The 18,832-nt window shown below is 64.6% G+C and overlaps 3 protein-coding genes and 1 long non-coding RNA gene across 8 annotated transcripts in view, besides 7 other annotated features; 2 read left to right on the forward strand and 2 right to left on the reverse strand.

Annotated features, from left to right (window-relative positions):
* The window catches only part of GPSM1 (G protein signaling modulator 1), a 32,063-nt gene extending 28,686 nt beyond the window's left edge, over positions 1 to 3,377 (forward strand). For all 3 annotated transcript variants that reach the window (NM_001145638.3, NM_001145639.2, NM_001200003.2), the window contains 2 exons: positions 118 to 326; positions 1,790 to 3,377. In NM_001145638.3, coding sequence (NP_001139110.2) covers positions 118 to 326; positions 1,790 to 1,996 — 416 coding nt within the window. In that variant the 3' untranslated portion in view covers positions 1,997 to 3,377. The remainder of the gene's footprint in view (positions 1 to 117; positions 327 to 1,789) is intronic.
* DNLZ (DNL-type zinc finger) lies at positions 3,259 to 7,520 on the reverse strand. Of its 2 annotated transcripts, none has more exons than NR_073565.2 (3): positions 7,263 to 7,520; positions 6,765 to 6,908; positions 3,259 to 5,956 (listed from the first exon to the last, which is right to left on the reverse strand). NR_073565.2 is itself a non-coding variant. In NM_001080849.3 (3 exons), the coding sequence occupies exons 1-3, from the start codon at positions 7,488 to 7,490 to the stop codon at positions 5,788 to 5,790; spliced, it is 537 nt and encodes a 178-aa protein (NP_001074318.1). In that variant the 5' UTR covers positions 7,491 to 7,520; the 3' UTR covers positions 3,259 to 5,787. The 2 variants fall into 2 exon arrangements, 1 of the variants encoding a protein (NP_001074318.1); NM_001080849.3 differs by having other exon boundaries at positions 6,765 to 6,904.
* Positions 6,876 to 7,155: a silencer, noted in NCBI's record as "silent region_20508". NCBI's record gives its function as "represses an Ori minimal core promoter by ATAC-STARR-seq in GM12878 lymphoblastoid cells {active_cell/tissue: GM12878}" and the evidence as "EXISTENCE:reporter gene assay evidence [ECO:0000049][PMID:35858748]".
* On the forward strand, positions 7,145 to 13,073 carry LOC124902309 (uncharacterized). The gene is made up of 2 exons (XR_007061863.1): positions 7,145 to 7,228; positions 11,400 to 13,073. It is a non-coding gene; the product is annotated as an uncharacterized LOC124902309 (long non-coding RNA).
* Positions 7,256 to 7,755: a silencer, noted in NCBI's record as "silent region_20509". NCBI's record gives its function as "represses an Ori minimal core promoter by ATAC-STARR-seq in GM12878 lymphoblastoid cells {active_cell/tissue: GM12878}" and the evidence as "EXISTENCE:reporter gene assay evidence [ECO:0000049][PMID:35858748]".
* Positions 7,732 to 17,445, reverse strand: CARD9 (caspase recruitment domain family member 9). 2 transcript variants are annotated; one of them, NM_052814.4, is made up of 13 exons: positions 17,308 to 17,445; positions 15,671 to 15,870; positions 15,100 to 15,237; positions 14,617 to 14,921; positions 14,298 to 14,477; positions 14,070 to 14,213; positions 13,526 to 13,651; positions 11,413 to 11,604; positions 10,992 to 11,033; positions 10,576 to 10,621; positions 8,917 to 8,993; positions 8,329 to 8,335; positions 7,732 to 7,938 (listed from the first exon to the last, which is right to left on the reverse strand). In NM_052814.4, the coding sequence occupies exons 2-13, from the start codon at positions 15,852 to 15,854 to the stop codon at positions 7,901 to 7,903; spliced, it is 1,479 nt and encodes a 492-aa protein (NP_434701.1). In that variant the 5' UTR covers positions 15,855 to 15,870; positions 17,308 to 17,445; the 3' UTR covers positions 7,732 to 7,900. The 2 variants fall into 2 exon arrangements, with proteins under 2 accessions (NP_434701.1, NP_434700.2); NM_052813.5 differs by having other exon boundaries at positions 7,732 to 8,177; positions 8,259 to 8,335.
* Positions 7,786 to 7,885: a silencer, noted in NCBI's record as "silent region_20510". NCBI's record gives its function as "represses an Ori minimal core promoter by ATAC-STARR-seq in GM12878 lymphoblastoid cells {active_cell/tissue: GM12878}" and the evidence as "EXISTENCE:reporter gene assay evidence [ECO:0000049][PMID:35858748]".
* Positions 8,097 to 8,987: an enhancer, noted in NCBI's record as "H3K27ac-H3K4me1 hESC enhancer chr9:139258773-139259663 (GRCh37/hg19 assembly coordinates)". NCBI's record gives its function as "activates a minimal SCP1, AML or CMV promoter by ChIP-STARR-seq in naive H9 embryonic stem cells {active_cell/tissue: H9 hESC(naive)}" and the evidence as "EXISTENCE:reporter gene assay evidence [ECO:0000049][PMID:30033119]".
* Positions 8,988 to 9,877: an enhancer, noted in NCBI's record as "H3K4me1 hESC enhancer chr9:139259664-139260553 (GRCh37/hg19 assembly coordinates)". NCBI's record gives its function as "activates a minimal SCP1, AML or CMV promoter by ChIP-STARR-seq in naive H9 embryonic stem cells {active_cell/tissue: H9 hESC(naive)}" and the evidence as "EXISTENCE:reporter gene assay evidence [ECO:0000049][PMID:30033119]".
* Positions 17,313 to 17,607: an enhancer, noted in NCBI's record as "tiled region #3996; HepG2 Activating DNase unmatched - State 1:Tss, and K562 Activating DNase matched - State 1:Tss". NCBI's record gives its function as "activates a minimal TATA promoter and a strong SV40 promoter by Sharpr-MPRA in HepG2 and K562 cells {active_cell/tissue: HepG2 | K562}" and the evidence as "EXISTENCE:reporter gene assay evidence [ECO:0000049][PMID:27701403]".
* Positions 17,627 to 18,340: an enhancer, noted in NCBI's record as "H3K4me1 hESC enhancer chr9:139268303-139269016 (GRCh37/hg19 assembly coordinates)". NCBI's record gives its function as "activates a minimal SCP1, AML or CMV promoter by ChIP-STARR-seq in primed H9 embryonic stem cells {active_cell/tissue: H9 hESC(primed)}" and the evidence as "EXISTENCE:reporter gene assay evidence [ECO:0000049][PMID:30033119]".

Here is an 18,832-nt window from a genome sequence, read left to right on the forward strand (position 1 = left end):
CCCAGCAGCACAGTGGGCTGGGCTGGGCTCAGAGGTCAGAGCTCACTGTGGCCGCAGCCCGAGCCTCGGGCTTGACCCCGCACTGGGTCCCAGGTCTCACCCTCTGGCCCCCCGCAGCCCAGCCCTCGATGACGGCCTCGCCCCAGACCGAGGAATTCTTCGACCTCATCGCCAGCTCCCAGAGCCGCCGGCTGGACGACCAGCGGGCCAGCGTGGGCAGCCTGCCGGGGCTGCGAATCACCCACAGCAATGCAGGGCACCTCCGAGGCCACGGCGAGCCCCAGGAGCCGGGGGACGACTTCTTCAACATGCTCATCAAGTACCAGGTGGGCTGCGGCCCTGGGCGGGCGTGGCTCGCGGCCCCTTTGCCATCCACGTGTGTGGAGGCAACTTGTGTCCTGAGGGGTGAGGTGGGCGCTGGTTCTGCCATCTCCGGTCATGTTTGAGGGACTCCTGGGGGACTCAGCCAGTGTCACCACATGACCAGGGGTGTCTGAGCCTGAAGCCCTACTCCTGGGAACCCCGGGCTGCTGGAGACACCAGAGACCCCCCCTGGCAACCCCAGGACACTCCCAGGCTGTGCCACCCCCCTGCCATGCAGGAACTCGGGGTGGGGGCTGGGGGGTCACAGGTCCTGGAGCTCATGGCCTCAGGGATTCCCCACCAGCCCTCCACACCCGGCAGGGAAAACACGGGCCAGATAGCACCCCCAGAGTGGGGAGGGCAGGGGGATCCAGGGCTGCCAGCTGGCTGGTGGGACAAAAACAGGGACCATCCAGGGACCACACAGTGGACGGCATGGGCGGAGGGTCCAGCCCCAGAGGGCAGAGCCAGGGCCGGGGCTCCAGCCTGGCAGCCACGCCAGGAATGACCTCCTCATCTGTGTGGGGGTGAGCCAGGTAGGGTGGCCGGAGTGGAGACTGCTGAGCCAACTGCTATCCCAACTAGGACCTCAAACTCTGGGGGTCTCGCCATCCCTGTGGGGTGCAGCCATTGCTGGGAAGGGGTTCAGGGTCCGTAGACTTGGGAACAGGCTGGGGGTGGAGGCCGCTTGGCCCACCACGAACCAAGCCAGCACGTTTCCAGGTCTGCCGTCCTCCCCACAGCAGAGAGGAAACCTCGGCCCGGGGCCAGGCGTCCGACCAGCCACCTCCAAACCAGCCCCACCCAAGAGGCCCAGAGTCCCCCATCCACACGCATGCCTGCGCCAGCTCCCGTCCCTCCTGCTCCAGGCGCTTCAGAGAAGCCCAGACAACCCCTTGGCCCCCTGGCCTGCACACTGGAGCAGGCGAGGCCCACGGGGTCAGCCACCTGACACAAGGGGAAGCCCTGGGGGGCGCCACACTTCGGGCTCTGGAAGCTGAGACCTCAGGCCTGCCAGGGTCAGTCCCAGGCTGTGCTGGTTTCCAGGGCTGGGCAGAGGGACGGCCACGCATGCCCGTCCCTGGGGATCAGCAGATGTGGGGAGCAGGCATCCAACGCCGCCCTAGCCACTGTCTCCTGGGCCTGGCACACCCATGCCCAGTGGGAATCGCTGGACCTGCTTTTCCTGGGCGGGCCTGCCCTGGGCTCCTGCGGGTTGGTGGCGGGGCCACCAGAAGACTGCGCTCAGGGCCCGGGCTCCCAGCACAAGACCCCAGAGCGAGGCAGGCCCCAGAACCAATTTCCTGGGTGGACAGGGGGAAGCCCGTGAACAGTGCACGCTGGCCTCTGGAACCACCGCTGCTGACCAGCCCCGGACCACTGGGGCTGGGGGGGTGAGGCCGCCAACTGCACTGTGTCCACCCAGTCCTCCAGGATCGATGACCAGCGCTGCCCGCCACCTGACGTACTGCCCCGGGGCCCTACCATGCCGGACGAGGACTTCTTCAGCCTCATTCAGAGGGTGCAGGCTAAGCGCATGGACGAGCAGCGGGTGGACCTCGCCGGGGGCCCGGAGCAGGGGGCAGGCGGCCCGCCCGAGCCCCAGCAGCAGTGCCAGCCTGGTGCGAGCTAAGGCCCTGTGCCCACCGCCAGGCCCACCCTGCCCCCACTCCTGGACGCCGGTCTCACAGTCACAGCCACGTCCTCCCGAGGCCATTGCCGAGGACAGGCACTGGGCATGCAGCCCCACGGCCTCCCCGACCCAGGGCGACAGGCTCAGGCCAAGCTGCCCGTGGTGGGAGGGCGTGCTTCCATCCCGGGCTGGCCCCCATGGCCCTCAGCTTCCTCCCTTCTGCCCCTGCCGCAGGCCGGACGGGGCCTTCGGCATGTCGGCCCCGACCTGGTGCTGTCAGACTCCCGCATCCTCTCCCCCAAGCCCTTCCCGTTCTGCCCTGCCCTGCCAAATGTGAAACCCTGCTGTCTCCCCCACCCTCCCCAAAGGTGTCTCTGAGCCGCCTCTTGGGGCCACCAAGGACAGGGCCATGTTCTGTCCCCCCAGAGCTGGTCTTGGGATGGCCGTGTGACAGGCATGCTCCACCCCTCCAGCTTCGTCCTGGGGCAGGGCTCCCTCCAAGCCTGTCTCCCCACTCCCCGGCCAGAGGTCAGCAACCACAGAAGGCCCCCCAGACCACGCATGGCAGACCAGGCTGCAGTGGCAGCCCTGAGGTGCCCCCCGCCGAGTCCCAGGGCCCTGCAGGGGCCTCGACAGGAGCCGGGCCTATCTCTAAAGCAGAGGGAATGGCTGGGCATGAACTTCGACATTCCAAAACCCCAAGCCAGGAAAAAGGGCAGGGCCTGGTCCTAGGGATGCTTACTGGCAGCAAGAGCAGTGCCCAGTCAGGGTGGGAGGTAGCACCAGGCTCTGTGACCCTCACCCAAGTGGGGGGGTGGTCAGTGGAAGCTGGGGAGGCTTCACTCAGCTCAACCCTGCAGACCCCCCATATGAGAACCCCCCTCCTCCCACCAGCTGGGGGAGATGACATCACTGCTCTCTCCATGGGGAGGGGGCTCACAGGGCACCAAGTTCGGGATCCTAGGACTGGCAGGACCTGCTGGAGCCTGAGATGGGCCCCAGGGGCCTGAGGTTGCCTCCTCCTGTCCAGACCCAGCCTTGGCACCTCCCAAGACTGCCAAGGGCCCTACCATGGCCCCACAGCCCCCAGGGCTGGCAGTTCCATCTAGGAGGGTGCCTCTAGGCCCCACTCTCAGGCTAGGATGGAGAGGCAGATCTGGGCCTGGTGAGGTGACCTGCTTCTGGAGGGGCAGGGCCGCACCCGAGAGCAGGGACAGGTGCCCGAACACAGGGTCTCCAGGACGTAGCGCCCCCCCGCATACTTGAATGTATGTGCGTATTTATTGCTCACGTCTGTGCCATGTTGTCAATGGGTCCTTTCCAACCCAAGAGGTACATTTGTTTTTCTGTTTTTCCTGAAAAATAAAGTCGGCCAAGTGAGTGTGGTCCGTATGGGCTTAGTCCCGGGTGGGGGCCTAACCCGGTAAGAGGCTGCACTGTGCAAAGTGTCCACAGATACCCACTGTCTGGGCCCTCTGAGACCTCAGAGAGATGGAGTTCCCACTGCATTTAACCACGGGGGAGCTGGGGCACAGAGGGGTGAAGTGGCTGCCTGCTGTCACCACTGATTCCTGCACCCCTACCTCCTCACGCTCCCAGCCCCTAGGGAAACAGAGCATGCTCTGAGCTGACACTCACGTGGCCGGGACCAGCCCCCAGAAGCAGCAGCCCCCAGGTCAGCCCCACGACCCCCTGAGGACCCAGCCTGCTGCCGCCCACCCAGCACCCGGGGGAGGGAGGTCCTTTCCTGGAGTCTGATCCGGCTGGGCTCAGGGTCTGGACACTGAGCCACAGTGGAGGAGCCGACGGCAGATCTGCAGTCTTGGGGCTTGTCTGGGCGCTGCTTGTGGTGGGTGGCACCCCCACGGGGCCCCCGTCAGGGGACACACAGGTGCGCCGGGCAGTCCTGCTGCCCCTCGCCACAGCCCACCTGGCCATGTTGGCAGCCACAGCCTCTGTGCTGGTTGACTCCGTTGCCTCCTCCACCCCAGAAGGGGCCTTGGGAACCAGAATCAACGTGTACTCCAGGTCCAGGGTCCCAGCCAGCTTGCGTGTGGTGGTACACGCACACAGGGTCCAAGTAACCGTGCAGGGCCCAGGACCGCGCACAGCCAGGGAAGCGCAGCAGTGCCGCCCACGCTACTGGCTGGGACAGCCTCTGAAGGTGCGGCCGAGGAACCTGCTTGGAGAGACGCTGTGACGAGGGATGCCCAGGCCAGCAACCGTGCCCGGGAGGCAGGGATGTCCTGGGGCGGGGGGGTGTAGAGTGGCAGGAGATTAGGATGGCAAAGCCCCTTGCAGAAACCTGGCTGTGGGATTGGGGCTGCGGGGAGGGAAGGGCGGAGGGAGACAGGGTCCAGGGGGCCTCAGGCAGGAGCTGGCGGGATGCTTCTGGCACGCGGGGGGTAGCCATAGGTCTTCTCTAGGAACGTGCCAGCCTTGGGAAGGATTTCCCTCCAGGGCCAGCCTGGGCCCAGAGGTGCTGGCATCAGACAGAAAAGACATGGTAACGTCCACATCCCAACTACCAGCCGCCATCTCCCCATCCGTAAGAGGAGGGGTTGGCCCAAGCGGCTCTCCTTGCTCTAATTCTGCACTTCCAGGTCCAGACGGCTCCCTGGACCTCCCCACATGCTGGTCCAGGCCCTCTGGAGGCAGTGAGGCAGCCAAGCCAAGCCCAGCCCCACTGCACTTCCAAGCCCCCAAGAGACCCCCAGCCAGTGCCTCCATGGAGGAGCAGGCCTGGGTGCCGGTGGCTCAGCCGAGAAGAGGACAGTTTCCACAAATGGCACAGAAGGCTCTGGGTGGGAATAATAGAGGGTTGTTGGCTGAAAGAAGGACAGGGGGTAATCGAGGCAAAGCCCACGCCACAAGCACACTGGGAACGATGCCGCCGCGCCCCGGCCTCCCACGGGCCGGATGTGAGCTGGCAGTCCTGGCCGTGTCCCGCTGGGAGGGGCCGCACTGGGTCCCTGTCGTGCTCAGTCCTGCCTCCACCTCCCACCTCGCCCCATTCTCTTCCCTGCCGGAGTGTGGCGGGTGATGAATGCTGAAGGTTACGCTGCCCAGAACGCTTCTGCAAATAAACAGGCTGCTGTGTTTGCTCGCTTTCATAAACACGGGAACATCCTGCGCACAGACAAGGCTGGGAGACAAACCCCACACACCTCGGAGGGCCCTGGGGACGTCCAGAGCGCTGTCCACCGAGGGAAGGAGGCCCAGGTGGCTCCCCCGGGAGGGGTCTGGAGCTCCTAACACACGGCCACGCCATAGCTGCTCGTCCTGCCTGGGCCAGCAGGCAGCCTGGTTTGCTCACTGTTTCGCCGACGGCCGGCGGCCGAGGACCAGGGCTCAGGTCTGCACTGGCTCACGGAAGGGAGGCCGCCAGAGCTGGCCAGGGGGGCGGCAAGGGCCTTGCAGAGGAAGGCTGAGGCTCACAGGGGTGGTGACCTGCTCAAAGTCACGCAGCGACAGCCAGGAAGGGCTCTGACGCCACATCCAGCCCCCTTTCCACGCGACTGTGGCCTCTGTGGGCAAGAGCTGGGTGACTCTGTGTAGAAGGAACTGTGGTGAGGCGAGAGGTCCTGCGGCTCCTATGTCCCACCCAGCAGCACCAGGGATTCAGAGCAATCGTTCTAACTCCAGAAAAAGAAAGGCCACGAGGGCCACAGGCCCCAGCATCTGGAAGTAATGTCTGTTTATTGATAGAAAACAGGCCACGTCCAGAGAGGCCCAGGGCCAAAACCTCCTTCTGGAAGGCCGAAGTCCCACAGTGCCGGGGAGCGCAGGAGTCAGCTCGGCTCCGTCTTGCCAGGGCTGGGGGGACCCTCATCCTCACCCGCTTCCGGAGCTGCAGTGGATGTGGGGGCCCCTGCAGCCTCCAGAACCAGTTCCAGGGCCCCCTCGCCCGCCACACGGTGCACCTGCTCGCCTCTGGCCGTCAGGATCTCTTCGATATTTCTGGGGGGCAGGGAGGCAACATGGCTCTTCAGGGCCCCCCAGCCGCCCTGCACTTCAGTCCCCTCAGGGCGCCCCATGGCCAGGCCAGAGCTGCAAGCACCAGGCCCAGCACTCCTGTGGCATCAGGCCACACGGGCACTTCAGACGCTGGCCTGTGTGCCCTCACCAGCCCTGTGTCTCTGCCGGTATGCGCCGCCTCAGGAACCCAGTCTCCTGCTCCTGCCCCCTATGTGCCAGAGGGAAGAATCTGCAGCCCCGGGTCTGATGGGAGGACAGTCCCAGCTCCAAGGGCCAGGTACCACCAAGCACCTGGCATGCTGGTCTCAGACCTGCTGTCGCTGTTACTGTCCTGCCCAGGACCTCCCGGCCAGGCAAGGCCCGGACCAGGCTCCCGGCACCACCTCCACTGCTCTCCCAGCAGCCAGGGCCCAGGCCACACCTCCTGGTCCACACCCCAAGCCTTGCTGTGGGCCAGCCACCCCAAGATGGCAGAGGGCAAAAAAGTTCCACGCTAGAGAGGGACAAGGCTGCCAGTGATGGCAGAGGGCAGGCAGAGGCAGGGAGGCAGGGCCACAGGGCTGGCAAAATTTAACAAATAAAAACGCACCCCCTACTTGGGGCATACTTAAACTCAAAAGCTATCTGGGCTTTATAGGAAATTCTCATTTAACTGTGTGTCTTGTATTGATAAGGTGGCTGGATTTCCCAGGTGAGATCTATAAACCTCAACACTAGGGCAAGGTTCCCCCAGGGAGGCCAGGGTACTTCTGGGTGGCCTTCTGGCCCAGCCCTGGGGTACAGGCCTCACCTCTTCCCATTCAGGTCCGAGAACCAGCCCAGGTTGTCAGCGATGATATGGTGGTTCTGGCAGCCGGGGCAGGTCACAATGACCACGCCTTGGTGATAGGCCAGCTTGGAGATGCGCTTGGAGGACCTAGTCCCGCAGACCTGGCTGGGACAGGGTAGCTGGTGAGGCTGTGAGGGCCGCCACGCCCCTCCCGGGAAGACCCGCCCCTCTAGGGGTAGCTCCAGCCACCTCACCCTCTCCAGAGAAGGCCCCGCCCCCGAGGGATAGCTCCACCCACCCCCAACCTCGCCCTCTCCCGGGAAGGCCCCGCCCCAGGGACGGCTCCACCCCTCCTCATGGTCCGCCTCCGCTCCCTCCCAGAAGCCCCAAGGGGTGGCTCCACTCCTTCCTGTGACTTGACCACGCCGCCTCCCGGATCCCCGGCGGGCCGCTTCTCCCCGCAGGCCGTGTAGCGTCAGATACGGGTCTGTCCCCGGTTCCGTCCCGCCGCGCGCCTACCTTGCAGGTGTAGACGAGCTGGTAGTGCGCCGCCTCCACGCGCCCCAGAGCCGCCGCGGGCCCCGGCCCCTGCTCGGAGCTTGAGCGCCGCCAGCCCCAGGCCCAGGCCCGCCGCCTCCCCGCGACCTCTGGACGGGCCCCGCGGCCCCACAGCCGCCTCAGGCAGGGCGCCCGGGGCTGCACGCGACTCAGCAACCTCGGCGCGCCGCGCAGCGCAGTCCGCAGCATCCCGCTCGCCGGCTCCGTCCGCCCTGCCCCGGCCCCGCCCCGCCGCCATCTTGGAAGTGGGCGCCGGGCGGAAGCGGCGTTCTTGGGCTTCCGTCTTCCGGGTCGGGGGCGCGCTGCGCTATGCCGCCCCCTGGCGGCCTGAGGGGGCCCTGCGTCCACGTGCAGCTCGCACCCCGAGGACACCGCGGGCCGCAGCGAGGAGGGACGGCCGCGGGGCTGCGCGCGAGTGTCCGAGCGGGAATGCGGGTCACCCGTGCTGTTTATTTACGCAGCTGTGTTTTCTAACACTAATACAATGCATGCATGTATTGTGTGTTACATGGTGAAACAGAACAGATCCTGAAGTTACACAGATGGCGTGTGCATGGGGGTGGTGAGCACCCGCATGGCCTCCGCAAAATGAGTGCCGCTTAACAAACGGCCCCAATGCCCGGCAGTCCGGCTGGGCCTTTCAGGGCACCAGATTCCTCGTTCCAGGCCAAGTCAGCGACGGCTCGGGGAAGTCTGCGCCCCAGGGCGTCGGCACCCCCGGGTGGCAGGAGGCCGGGCCGGTGGGTGTGCCCTGGTCGGGGCCTGCGCTGCTGCGGCTAGGAGCCCTCAGTGTCGGTGTTGTCGCTGCCCGTGGTGTTCTCCCGGTCCTCCTCCCCCTGCCGCCATCCTTTCTGCATCTTCCTGAGGGCGCGCTTCCTGTGAAGACAGGTGTCTCAGGCGCGACCCGGCTGCCGCTCCCCAGCCCGTTTTGGAGAAGCCTGGGGGCCGCCCGCCTACCTGCGGTAGTTCTCAAAACTCTCTTTGAGGCGCCGCCGCTCCTTCTCGGGCGGCTCCCCGCTGCTCAGGCCTGCGTCCTGGAGAAGGGGGAAGGCTCGGGCTCCGGCCGGCTCCCCTGAGGGAACCCGTCCTTCTCACCCGCCCCCCACTGGCCCCTGTAACTGCAGACTGGTTGGGAGGCGAGGAGCCCAGACAGCCTCAGCTCAGCGCCAAGCTCTCCCTGTGGGACCTGCCTGTACCCCTGGAGGTGAGCCGGTGTGGGTAGCCTGCATTTCAGATGCCAAGACACACCCAGGAGGCCAAGCCACGGCTCCAGCCTGGGGTCCGGGCCATTGTTTCTACAACAAAGCCCGAGGTGGTGCTTGCTCTCAGGACTCCTGTGTTCACCTCCTCATCCACTGTAAAGGCCCTCGGAAAACCAGGACCAGGCACATCCACGTCCAAAAAGCCCCCCAAGCTGCTGCAGTGCCCAAGAAAGGGGGATCCACTTCGCAGCCCAGACACCGCACCCCGAGCACTGTGGGCAGAGACCTTGTGGTCACTCCTCAGCTGTCGTCGGGGCCACCGCAGGGGGTGCCCAGGGCAGGGAGCCACTCTCCCTGTGATCGGTCACCCTGAGGCCCACGGCTGGGAGGACCCCACCCCGGGGAAGCCTTACATGGGGGTTCCGCAAAACCTGCTCCTGGTGCAGAGCTGCAAAGGGCTGTTTCGGGCTCCCCCCGCCGGCAAGGCAGCCTGGAAAGGAGAGTCGTGCCTGTGGGACCTGCCCATCTGCTGGGCCACGTATAGCACGGCTGCCCCACCCCTCCCCGGCATTGCAGTGGGGCTGTCTTCCAAGGCCTGGTGGGATCCCCACATGGGTCCAGTGTAGACTCTGCTTTCTGTAGATGAGACTGAGGCCTTATGGCCTCGCTTGCCTGTTCATTGCTCCAGGAGGCCGCCAGATGCCAGCCCAGGCCCAACGCTCCCGCCAGTGACCATCCCTCCCCCGAGCTGGCTGCCTGCCAGGGAGGAACGCCTCCCAGACCTCGGGGGAACTTAAACCCTGGGCCTGAGCAGCACCGTCCCCCATCACTCCAAAGCATCTGTGGGCATGGCGGCCCTGGGGAGAGAGTTGGGGACAGCTACAGTGGCTGTCTGGGTCCTCCTGAAGTGGGGGCAGGGGTACTGCAGCAATTGGGAGAGAACCTTCAGGCGGCTGGACCCCCTCAGAAACCGCCAGGACCTGGGCAGACCAGGGATCAGGACCCTTGGGCAGAAACCACGCACGTCCAGTCTCAGCCCCACTGCGGTGAGGGCCAGGCCAGGGCTGTCCTGGCCATTGGCAGCCCCTTAGAGCCAGCCCCTCCCCTGCTCACCCTCCAACCTTCACACCTGCCCCTGCTCCTGCCACAGCCACCCAGGGGGATGGGGGCAGTGCCTGAGCCGGACTCCTGGGTCCTGCTCGCCTCTGTGCCTACATGGGGGCTTGGCATCCCCATGTTCAAGTGTTCTGAGCTGCAGCCAAAGGCGCTGGTCTTCACTTCCCCGTCTGCGGCTCCTCCTTCCCCTTCCGCCTCTGCTTGGAGGCCACGGCCTGGTACTCAGGAAGCTTGTCCAACTCCGGTGCAGCCTCCCAGGACCCCTCTGCTGGGCCCTCCCCAACCCCTACCTGACAGCACCTTCAGTGCAAACACCTACCTCATCACCACTGCCCACTCCTGGACACTCGGGAGCTGCTCCCAGCTAGCCACCCAGTCCTTCCCCCAGACAGGCAGAGGGGGCCTGCCCTGCCCGCTAGAAGCCCCTGCCACTGCCTTACCCCCACTGCACCGGGACACAGCAGGCCCTTGGCCACCCCTGCATTCAGCCCTTTCCCTCAAGCCACGTGGGGCCCCATCTCGCCCCATCTTCTAGCTTCATGCACCTGGTCGTTCGCTCGTTACCACCTCCCTCTGTCCAGGAGGAAGCTTGGAGCAGCCAGGACTGGGCCTGCTCACCTCTGCACCCCGTGGGGGCTGCCCAGAGGGGCCCCACACTCTCAGGACGGTGGGCCTGCTCACCTCTGCAGCCCATGGGGGCTGCCCAGACCCCCACACTCTCCACCCCAGGGGACACTTGTCCCACTAGCTGGGGCCCTGGGTTCCAGCTGGGCTCTGTAGTTTGTTCTCTAGGTGACCTTGACCATTTTACTTATCCCCAGCCCCAGTTTCCCTGTCTGTGGAGTGGGGGTTGTGGGGGTTGACACAGGCATTGCGGCACGGGCTGCCTGTGCTGAAGATGGGCCTCACTTGGGGAAGCTGGGAGGCCTCTGGGTGTACTGCTGTCCCCACCTCACCTTTGTCTGAGAGCTGGGTGTCCTCCAGGTCCTGGGGGAGTGAGAGCTTCCAAAGAGAGTCAAGATGTCCCATTAGGCCACTTCGCCAAGGACTGGACCCGGCCACACTGCCCACCCCAGCCCTTGGCCCTCAGCTGGGTGCAGCCATTGCCGTCACCCCCTGCACAGAGCTTCTCAGAGACTCAGGTGCCCAGCAGACGGACATTGGGCGGCCAGGAGGTGGGCACTGTCCGTGCCTTACCTTACCCCTTGAGCCATCAGAGGCCTTAGCATTTGGCCACCTGCTCTTCCTCCACCCAGCCCAGCCCACCGAGCAGGGCCATGTGACGGGCAGTGTGGGGCTATGCCTGGTGGCAGCTCAGCCAGGACCCCAGGTGAAGGAAGGCCAGCCTCGTGCTGGCTGGGGTCTCACTCACCTCCTGGGACCTCCTGGGTGAGCCATCTTCCAGGTCGGAGCTCTGTGGTCATAGAAAATGGGGTGGGTGGGCTGTGAGGGCAGAGGGCTCCCCAGGCACAGGGTGGGCAGGGCACAGAGCGGGATCCTCCAGGGAGCCCTGGGCATGCCCTCAGCCACACCAGGCCCCCTCCATGCCCAGAACAACCTGCTAGGCTGCCTGATGGCCAGGCCCAGGACCCACCCCGGCCCTGCAGCCCCACTTCCTGCTGGGACCCTGAACTGCTCGTGTGCCCTCACCCCACTGCCAGGAGGGGTTTGGTTAGGTTGGGGCCCGTCACAGAGAAGGGTTGGGTCGGGAAGGCCGGGGCTGAGGCTCCGTGCTCCCCTGGCCCTGCATCCCACGCGCCGGCTCCCCTCCCTGCCGCAGGCCCCAGGCCCACCAGGACGAGCGTCTCCAGCTGCTGCCGCCTGAGCCTGCCCTCCACGGCCAGTAGCTGCGCCTCACACTGGAACACCTGCAGCTGCAGCTCATCCGCCTTCTCGCCCAGCTCCCGCACCTGCTTGCGCAGCGCGTCCTTCTCCTGCAGGCCCCGGGCGTGCTGTGCGTGCAGCTCCTCCCGCGTGGCTATGGCCTGACGGGACAGCACAAGGCCGACCCTCAGTGAGGGCCCCAAGCTTGCCCTGGGCCCTCGGCCCGGCCGCCCAACTCCAAGCAGAGGCTCCGGAGGACGTCAAGCCGCTGGGCGCGGAGGCTGGTCACAGCCCCTCCATTTGTGTGCTCTGCGGACACGAAGTCAGCACGTGGGGGATTGTAAATGTGACAGTTGTCCCTGCTGCCCTTCTGTCTCCTCCCAAGCCTGCACCCCCGGTGGACACAGCGTGTGCTATGTACCCCCACACGTGCACATTTGATAAATTTTGGACGCGGCTTGATATGGAGACCCTGACTGTCCATAGCTAAGCGTCCTTCGTGACCGCAGCACTCTTTACCACCCCTGTCCTCACTGCGGACACTGAGACGCAGGAGCGAATGTGCAAACACGACGGCTTGACCACCCCTGCAGCCGAGGCTGGGAGGCCCTCACCTAACCCCTTCTGCCCAGACTGGAGCAACGGCTGGCAGCTTCCCTAATCCCTGGCCAACGCGCTCCCGGGAAGTCCCGTGGGAGCCCCCGCCCTGGGAGCCACACCAACCCCCATGGGGGCACAGCTGGATCTGCCCTTTTCCCCTGCCTTGGCGTGGGCCAGGCGCGAGTGAGGCTGAGGTGGGGCTGAGACAGGAGCTCTGAGCCTGGGCTGCTCTCATGGGGGCCGGGGCTTCCTTTGTAGCCCCAGGGGTCTCGTTTTAAGGCTCCTGATGTGGACAAAGTGCCATCCAGCATTTAGCCGAAGCAGCAATGGTGTCCATTGGAAACAACCTCCAGGATGGGACTTGGGACGGGGCATGGGAAGCAGACACAGCCCTGCCCCGCGACGCTCCATCCGGCTCACAGCACGTAGCACTGGAGGCCTTGCAGGCCTCACTCCCGTGGCCCAGGCTGGAGTGCAATAGCGCAATGGTGACTTGCTGCAGCCTCAGCCTCCTAAATAGCTGGGACCACAGGCATGCGCCACCACGACCAGTTAATTTTTTTTTTTTTTGAGACGGAGTCTCGCTCTGTCACCCAGGCTGGAGTACAGTAGCGTGATCTCAGCTCACTGCAACCTCTGCCTCCTGGGTTCAAGCAATTCTCCTGCCTCAGCCTCCTGAGTAGCTGGGATTACAGGCGCCCGGAACCACACCAGGCTAATTTTTGTGTTTTTAGTAGAGACGGGGTTTCCCCATACTGGCCAGGCTGGTCTCGAACTCCTGACCTCAAGTGAGCCGCCTGCCTCGCCCTCCTAGAGTGCTGGGATTATAGGCGTGAGCCACCGCGCCAGGCCAATTTTTGCATTTTTTTGTAGAGCAGGGATCTCACCGTGTTGCCCAGGCTGCTCTGGAACTCCTGGGCTCAAGTGATCCGCCCGCCTCAGCCTCCCAAAGTGCTGGGATGACAGGCGAGAGACACCACGTCCAGCCAAGCTTTTTTTAAGATTAAAAAAAGCTACTGGTAAAACAAGACAGAATGTTTCCATTTTTGTAAAACAAAACCAAATATATAAATAGATAGATAGGTGATAGATGATAGACAGATGGATACATGGATAGATGACAGGTAAGTCTGTAAGGTGGAGCGGGAAGGTTGAACACGGTTTTCCCTGACAGTAGGCTGGGGTGGGGAAGTATTGACTTCATCATCGTTTACTTTTTTTTAGTGTTAAGTATTGCTTCTGTCATTTAAAAAACAGACCAGGTGTGGCAGCTCAGCTTGCAATCCCAGCACTTTGGGAGGCTGAGGCCGGAGGATTGCTTGAGGCCAGTAGTTTGAGGCCACCCTGGGTGACATAGCAAGACCCCATCTCAAAAACAAATAACAAAGATTAAAAATCCTCTGACAACTGCCCTCAAGGGCCGTGGCCCTGGTGCACCCACCCGCGAGTGGGGTGCTTTGTCCTGCCCCTGCGAGTGCCCACCTGGTCCCGCTCAATGGCGACCTCCTCCATCTGCAGCAGGATGGCCTCGATGCGGTCCTTGTACATCTTGGAGTCCTTACGTAGTGCCAGGCACTGCAGCTCGAACATCTCCTTCTCCTCCATGCACTGCAGGGGGCGGCAGCTCAGCCCCCACAGGCCTGAGGCCCCCCATTCTGGCCCTTGGGGTATACTCCGGGCAGGGGCTCAGAAGCATGTGGTCAGGCCAGTTGGGATGTCGGGGGAGGCCATAGGAGTCCCCAGGCCCCTACCAGCCCTGCACTTCCAGACCGCGGCAGGACAGGGCCCTCCGGCAGGCCTCAGACACTGCTGTGCCTCAGGCACCATGAGCCCAGAGGTTGGCCTTTGCCATGGGGGGCAGGCGGGCAAGGAGAGGGCACCGTCCACTGTGCCTCCAGGAGTGGGTGAGTGGAGGCGCTGCACTGGGGTCTCCACACCCCACCTTCCAGGCACGGAGTGGGCGGAGCTCAGCCCGTCCAGCCTGGCTTGGACCCCAGGGGCCATGTCTCCCCGCCTGCCCTCCTACCCGGAGGCGTCGGGCCTCGCCCTGGCGGAGGTCCTTGCGCAGGGAGAAGATGGTGTTGGCCTGCTCCTGGTGGTCCCGCAGCGCCTGCCGCCAGTCCTCCTCCAGTACCTGGATGTAGGGGCTGCTCCTGTCCAGCTTCCCCTCCTGAAGGGGGCAAAAGGCAATGGCCTGGCTGGGAAGGCCCCCACTGCCCTGCCTGGGCTGCACCTGCCCTGCCTACGGCCCCACCTGGACGGAGGCCTCCAGCTCCTGCACCCGGGCCTGGAGCAGGGCCTTCTCCTGCTGCAGCTCCCACAGCAGCTCCTGGCTGGGCCGCTGCTCCATGGCGTGCCTGAGCTTCAGCGTGTGCTTGCGCTCCACCTTGCAGTCGTCCTCGGCCTTCATGAGGCTGTGCTTGAGCTGGTCAATCTGCAGAAGGTCCAGTGAGCCTGGCTGTCCCCTCCAGGCGGTGACCGCAGACCCGTGGGGCCACCCCCGACCGCCCCGGCCTGCAGACCCCGCCAGGCCAGGCGAGGGTGGCCTGGTTTCCCGGGGGCAGCGGGCGCACCTCCAGCTGCAGGTCACGGTTCCGCATGAGCGCGGCGCCCTTCTCCTCACTCTGGTGCGCCAGGCGCATGGCCAGGTCGTAGTTCTCCTCCTTGCAGCGCTTGAGCTCGCGGCTGCCGGCCTCGCACTCCTCCTTGAGCCTCTGCACACGCTCCTGGTGCTTGCGCAGCAGGCTGTCCTTCACCCGCAGCTCCTTGATGAAGTCATCTTTGGAGCTCAGCAGCGCGGTCAGGTCCTGCACCTTCTTCTGCAGCTTCATGACCTCAGTCATCAGCAGCTGAGTCAGGCCTGACTCCCCGGACGCGTCTGTGGGCCAGGCCAGTGTCAGATGGTGCCGTGTTCCCCGGTGGCCCAGCTCCATCACGCCCTGCGCTGTGGCAGGAGCTCAGGGCTCCTAGGGATGGGGGCCAGGCAGAGGACCCAACACCACTGCCCGCTCCCCGCCAGCGCCTCCCCTGTCGGCCCCGCCTCCCCCGTCACTCACCGATGATCATGGAGAAGACGCGGGCCGGCTCCTTGCCTGTGACCTTCTTGTACAGCTGCGGGTAGTAGAGCTCCAGGCTCTCGAGGAAGGCCACGTAGCCCTTGTGGCCGGTCCGCTGCAGGATGTCCAGGAGCACACCTGCGGGCCAGAGAGGCCTAACTGGGGGCGGGGCACAGGCGAGGCAGAGGGCTGGGGTGGGTGGGCCTGGGGGCAGGGACAGGTGGAGGCTGGCATGCAGATGAGGTGTGCCGTGGTCTGGGTCTTGGATGAGGTACCCTGCGGGTCTTGGTACTAGGCTGGGGACCAAGTGCTGCCCACCCGCCCCTTGGCTGTCTCAGGAGCCCCCGCTGCGGTGGGAGCCCCGCTGCCCCTCTTGGCAGCACCAAGCCGGCAGGAGAGGCTGGGGGACGGGCCACGTGCCAGGGTTGAGGTTGGGCCTCAGTCAGAGGCCAGGGGCAAAGCCAGGCGGGGCTCTCCTGGGGTTGAGGGTCAGGGTGGCAGAGCGTGCAGCCACCTCCGAGCTGACTCTGTGGTTGGGTTTGGGGCCTGGGGCCCGCGGGGCAACACTGACCCACTTTCCGTTTGCGGATGACCAGGTTGGGGTCGCTGAGCACCTGCTCCTCATCATCGGGGTTCAGGACCTTGCACTGCCGCAGGTAAGGTGTGATGCGTGAGGGGTCGATGACCGAGGTGAGCGTCACCCGGAAGCCCTCCAGGACGCTCCAGCACTCGTCATCGTTCTCGTAGTCCGACATGGCCTCAGCAGGCAGGCTGGGGAGTGTGGGGCAGTGCTGAGAGCGATGCCGGCTCCTGCCCCCACCCGGGCCCAGCTCCCACTCCTTCTCAGACGCTGGGCCAGGGCTCTCGTCAGGGCATCGAGGGGGATCAGCCCAGGGGCATCCAGGAGAGGTGCCCAGCTCCATGTCCCATCCCCACGCTGGATCCCCCAGGGAGGCAGCAGAGACACAGTGACCCCGCTCCCCACCAGACCAGCCGAGGGCCCCTCCGCAGCCTTTCCCAGCCCTTGCTCCTGCCCGTTGGCATCCATGTCACCCAGATACGCAGCGGGGGAGGCACAGATGGGGTCTGAGAGAGGAACTCCCCCTACAGCATGACCCCCTCTGGCCTCTGCCTCCTGGACACTCCCATCACGCCCTGGAGCCTGCAAGGTTAGCCACCTCCATGGCTGGAATGGGCAGAGGAGCTGAGGGCAACTGCCTGGCACTATGGCCAGCCCAAGCTGGGTGAGAGCAGGTTGGCCAGTGGCCCTCCCACCAGCACAGCAGCTGGGGGAGCCGGTTCTTGTGGGACTTCCTCATTCCCCTGACCGACGCCTGCTCACATCCCTGGCTGTGCCCTCCCTCCTCCACGGCCGGCTGCTGATGATGCAAGAGTGGCCACCCAGCCCTGCTGCAGCTGCGGGGTCGCTGCACTGGCCGGGAAGAGCTGCCCACAGGAGCGTGTCTCTGTCACCCCCTGCCGGCCCCGCAACCCTGGGAGGGGCTGTCAGTGTTGCCCTTGGCTGGCCAGGAGTGCTGCTGCGGTGTTTTCTCCAGGTTGAGGTGCCGGGCACCAGTGAATCCCTGGACTCTTCTCCTGCCCCAGATGAGGCCCGGCCCCCATCCCAGTGGCTGCAACAGAACTACCCATGTTGGGACCAGCCACTGCTGTCCCTTTCTGCCAGCATGGTGGGGGCCTCAGCCGCTGAAAGCCACTCCCTCTGAGACTGGGACTGCGGCAAGGCTGGGAGCAGCCACGTGGTCCTCAGACAGCCTCCAGCCCCGCTGGGAAACGCTGGTTTCCAGCCCAGAGGAGCTGGGTCACTGCTCCTGGAGACATAGTTGCCCCAGGCTTGGTCTTTTGAGGCATTTCTCAACTTCCCGCTGCACTTTGTCACCCCATTCAGGACAGTTTTGACAGACAAGGGACTGAATAAAAACACTGGCCACACGGTAGACAGTCCTGGGAACACTGGGCCCCTTTCCTGCTTCCCCAGCTTGAAATGCAGGGTCCCATCTGCCACCGTAATTCCACTGAAATGAACACATCTCCGCCCAGGGGCCGTGAAAGGGACGGGGCCGCATGGCGGAGGCTGCCTGGCTGCCTGTGGGAAGCCTCAGGCTGCTCTGGGGGATCAGTGCCAGGATCCTGAACTAGGCCAACGCCAACCTTCCTGGCCACCTTTCAGAAAGCACCAGACCCACCCACCTGAGGGTCTTCCAGGAGCCACCTGCACTGCAGACACACCAGGAGCCTGGGCCGCGGAGCCTCTGGGAGATGCTGCCCGGGGCTGCAGGGAGGGAGGAGCACGCCGGACGCCTGTGCACTTCCTGATGGGTTCTGCTTAACTCCACAGTCCCGCCAGTCCTCCCACAGGGGGACAGTCCCTGGTGACCTGCTTTCTGATTCGCCCAGCCCAGGAGGCCCCAAGAGGCAGACGGAAGTGGAAGTCCGCTGCCCTCCAGAGGAAAGCTGCTCCCAGCCCTCCCAGCCTGGCCGGGGGCTGGGGGTCCTGGGGATGCCCCAGAGGCCCAGCCCTGGCACCTGGCAAGTAGAAGAGACAGCAGAGACCCCCAGGGGGCTGGACAAGGCCAGCCCGCACCCAGCCACTTTGACCTGGTCACAGGCTTCTGGAGACTTCTTCAGTAAGGCATGCTTTGCTCTGTGCGAACACCCTCGCCCTCGCCAGCATCTCAGGACAGCGGGGCAGGGCATGTGCAGGGGGGCACACAGCCACACGGCATGGCCAGCACACGCCTTGGTCACAGAAGGGCTGCAGCCCACCTTATGGAGCCCAGGAGGCCACAGCAGCCTGCCAGGGGCCATGGCATCGGCCACCACCCAGCTGCACACGGGGGAGAAACGTCCCTTCCAGAAGTGTCGTTATCCTCGTTATCCCCATCATGAGGCATCCCTGCTCTCCACCAGGATGCATGTGAGGACTGAGGCCACTCTCGGGGTCCCCCAAACCAGCTTCAGAAGAGCCGGTGACAGCAGGGCACAGCTCGGCCCCCATCCAGGGACAACGGACAGCAGAGTCTGCCCTGAACTGTGCACTTCAGCGTGTGGGCTGCCAGAGCCTCATCCCTGCAGGCTTGGGAACCCCCAGGCCCCGCCTCACCCGGTAAAGCTGGTTGAACTGAGTTGCCACCCAACAGGTTCGAGAAGGGGCCGCCAGGCTGGAAGGCAAGGAAGCTGGTGTGGAGCTTGCCTAACCGTTCTCAGCCTCCAGCCCTCAGGCCTCTGTGCGGACAACGTCTGACATCACACATTAAGGAGCGGACAGTTAGGGGTCCTCCTGGGCTCTCGGGAATGCCACATTCCAGGGGGCCGTGCCCCTGCTGGACCCCTCACCATCAACATGAGCGAGTGTGCAGGCCGGGGCCATCCTGGGCCCTGCCAGGGAGCGAACCGGAGCTGGCACCAGGCCCTCATGACCCAGTGTTTCCCCAGCGTTTAAAACGCGGACCTTAGTGACTTCCCTGTGGTGTGTGTCCTTAGGAGTGAACACACATACCATGTTCTCTAACCATATCGGAAGCTAAAAATCGGTAACAGATATCGGCAAAATCTCTAAATATTTGGAAATTAAATAATATACCGCTAAATAACCCACAGATCAGAGTGGCCCCCAGACTAGGCACCAGACTAGAGAACCAGGCACAGCAACACATACTCAGGAGTGAGGTCGGCCATGGGACCGTCCCGTCTGCCAGGTGCCCAGGGCTGAGGC

Source organism: Homo sapiens, chromosome 9 (assembly GCF_000001405.40).
Source record: "Homo sapiens chromosome 9, GRCh38.p14 Primary Assembly".
NCBI lineage: Eukaryota > Metazoa > Chordata > Mammalia > Primates > Hominidae > Homo > Homo sapiens.

What these genes read in the sequence shown, in the direction of transcription:
- CARD9 (NM_052813.5), bottom strand. Translation starts at nt 15,854, where the DNA reads ATGTCGGACTACGAGAACGATGACGAGTGCTGGAGCGTCCTGGAGGGC. An exon ending in CATCCGCAAACGGAAAGTGG is followed by an intron (nt 15,238 to 15,670) that starts GTCAGTGTTGCC and finishes TCTGGCCCGCAG; the next exon opens with GTGTGCTCCTGGACATCCTG. An exon ending in CACCCAGGAGGTCCCAGGAG is followed by an intron (nt 10,622 to 10,991) that starts GTGAGTGAGACC and finishes TCTCTTTGGAAG; the next exon opens with CTCTCACTCCCCCAGGACCT.
- DNLZ (NM_001080849.3), bottom strand. Translation starts at nt 7,490, where the DNA reads ATGCTGCGGACTGCGCTGCGCGGCGCGCCGAGGTTGCTGAGTCGCGTG. An exon ending in AGCTCGTCTACACCTGCAAG is followed by an intron (nt 6,905 to 7,262) that starts GTAGGCGCGCGG and finishes TGTCCCAGCCAG; the next exon opens with GTCTGCGGGACTAGGTCCTC. An exon ending in TCGGACCTGAATGGGAAGAG is followed by an intron (nt 5,957 to 6,764) that starts GTGAGGCCTGTA and finishes CCTGCCCCCCAG; the next exon opens with AAATATCGAAGAGATCCTGA.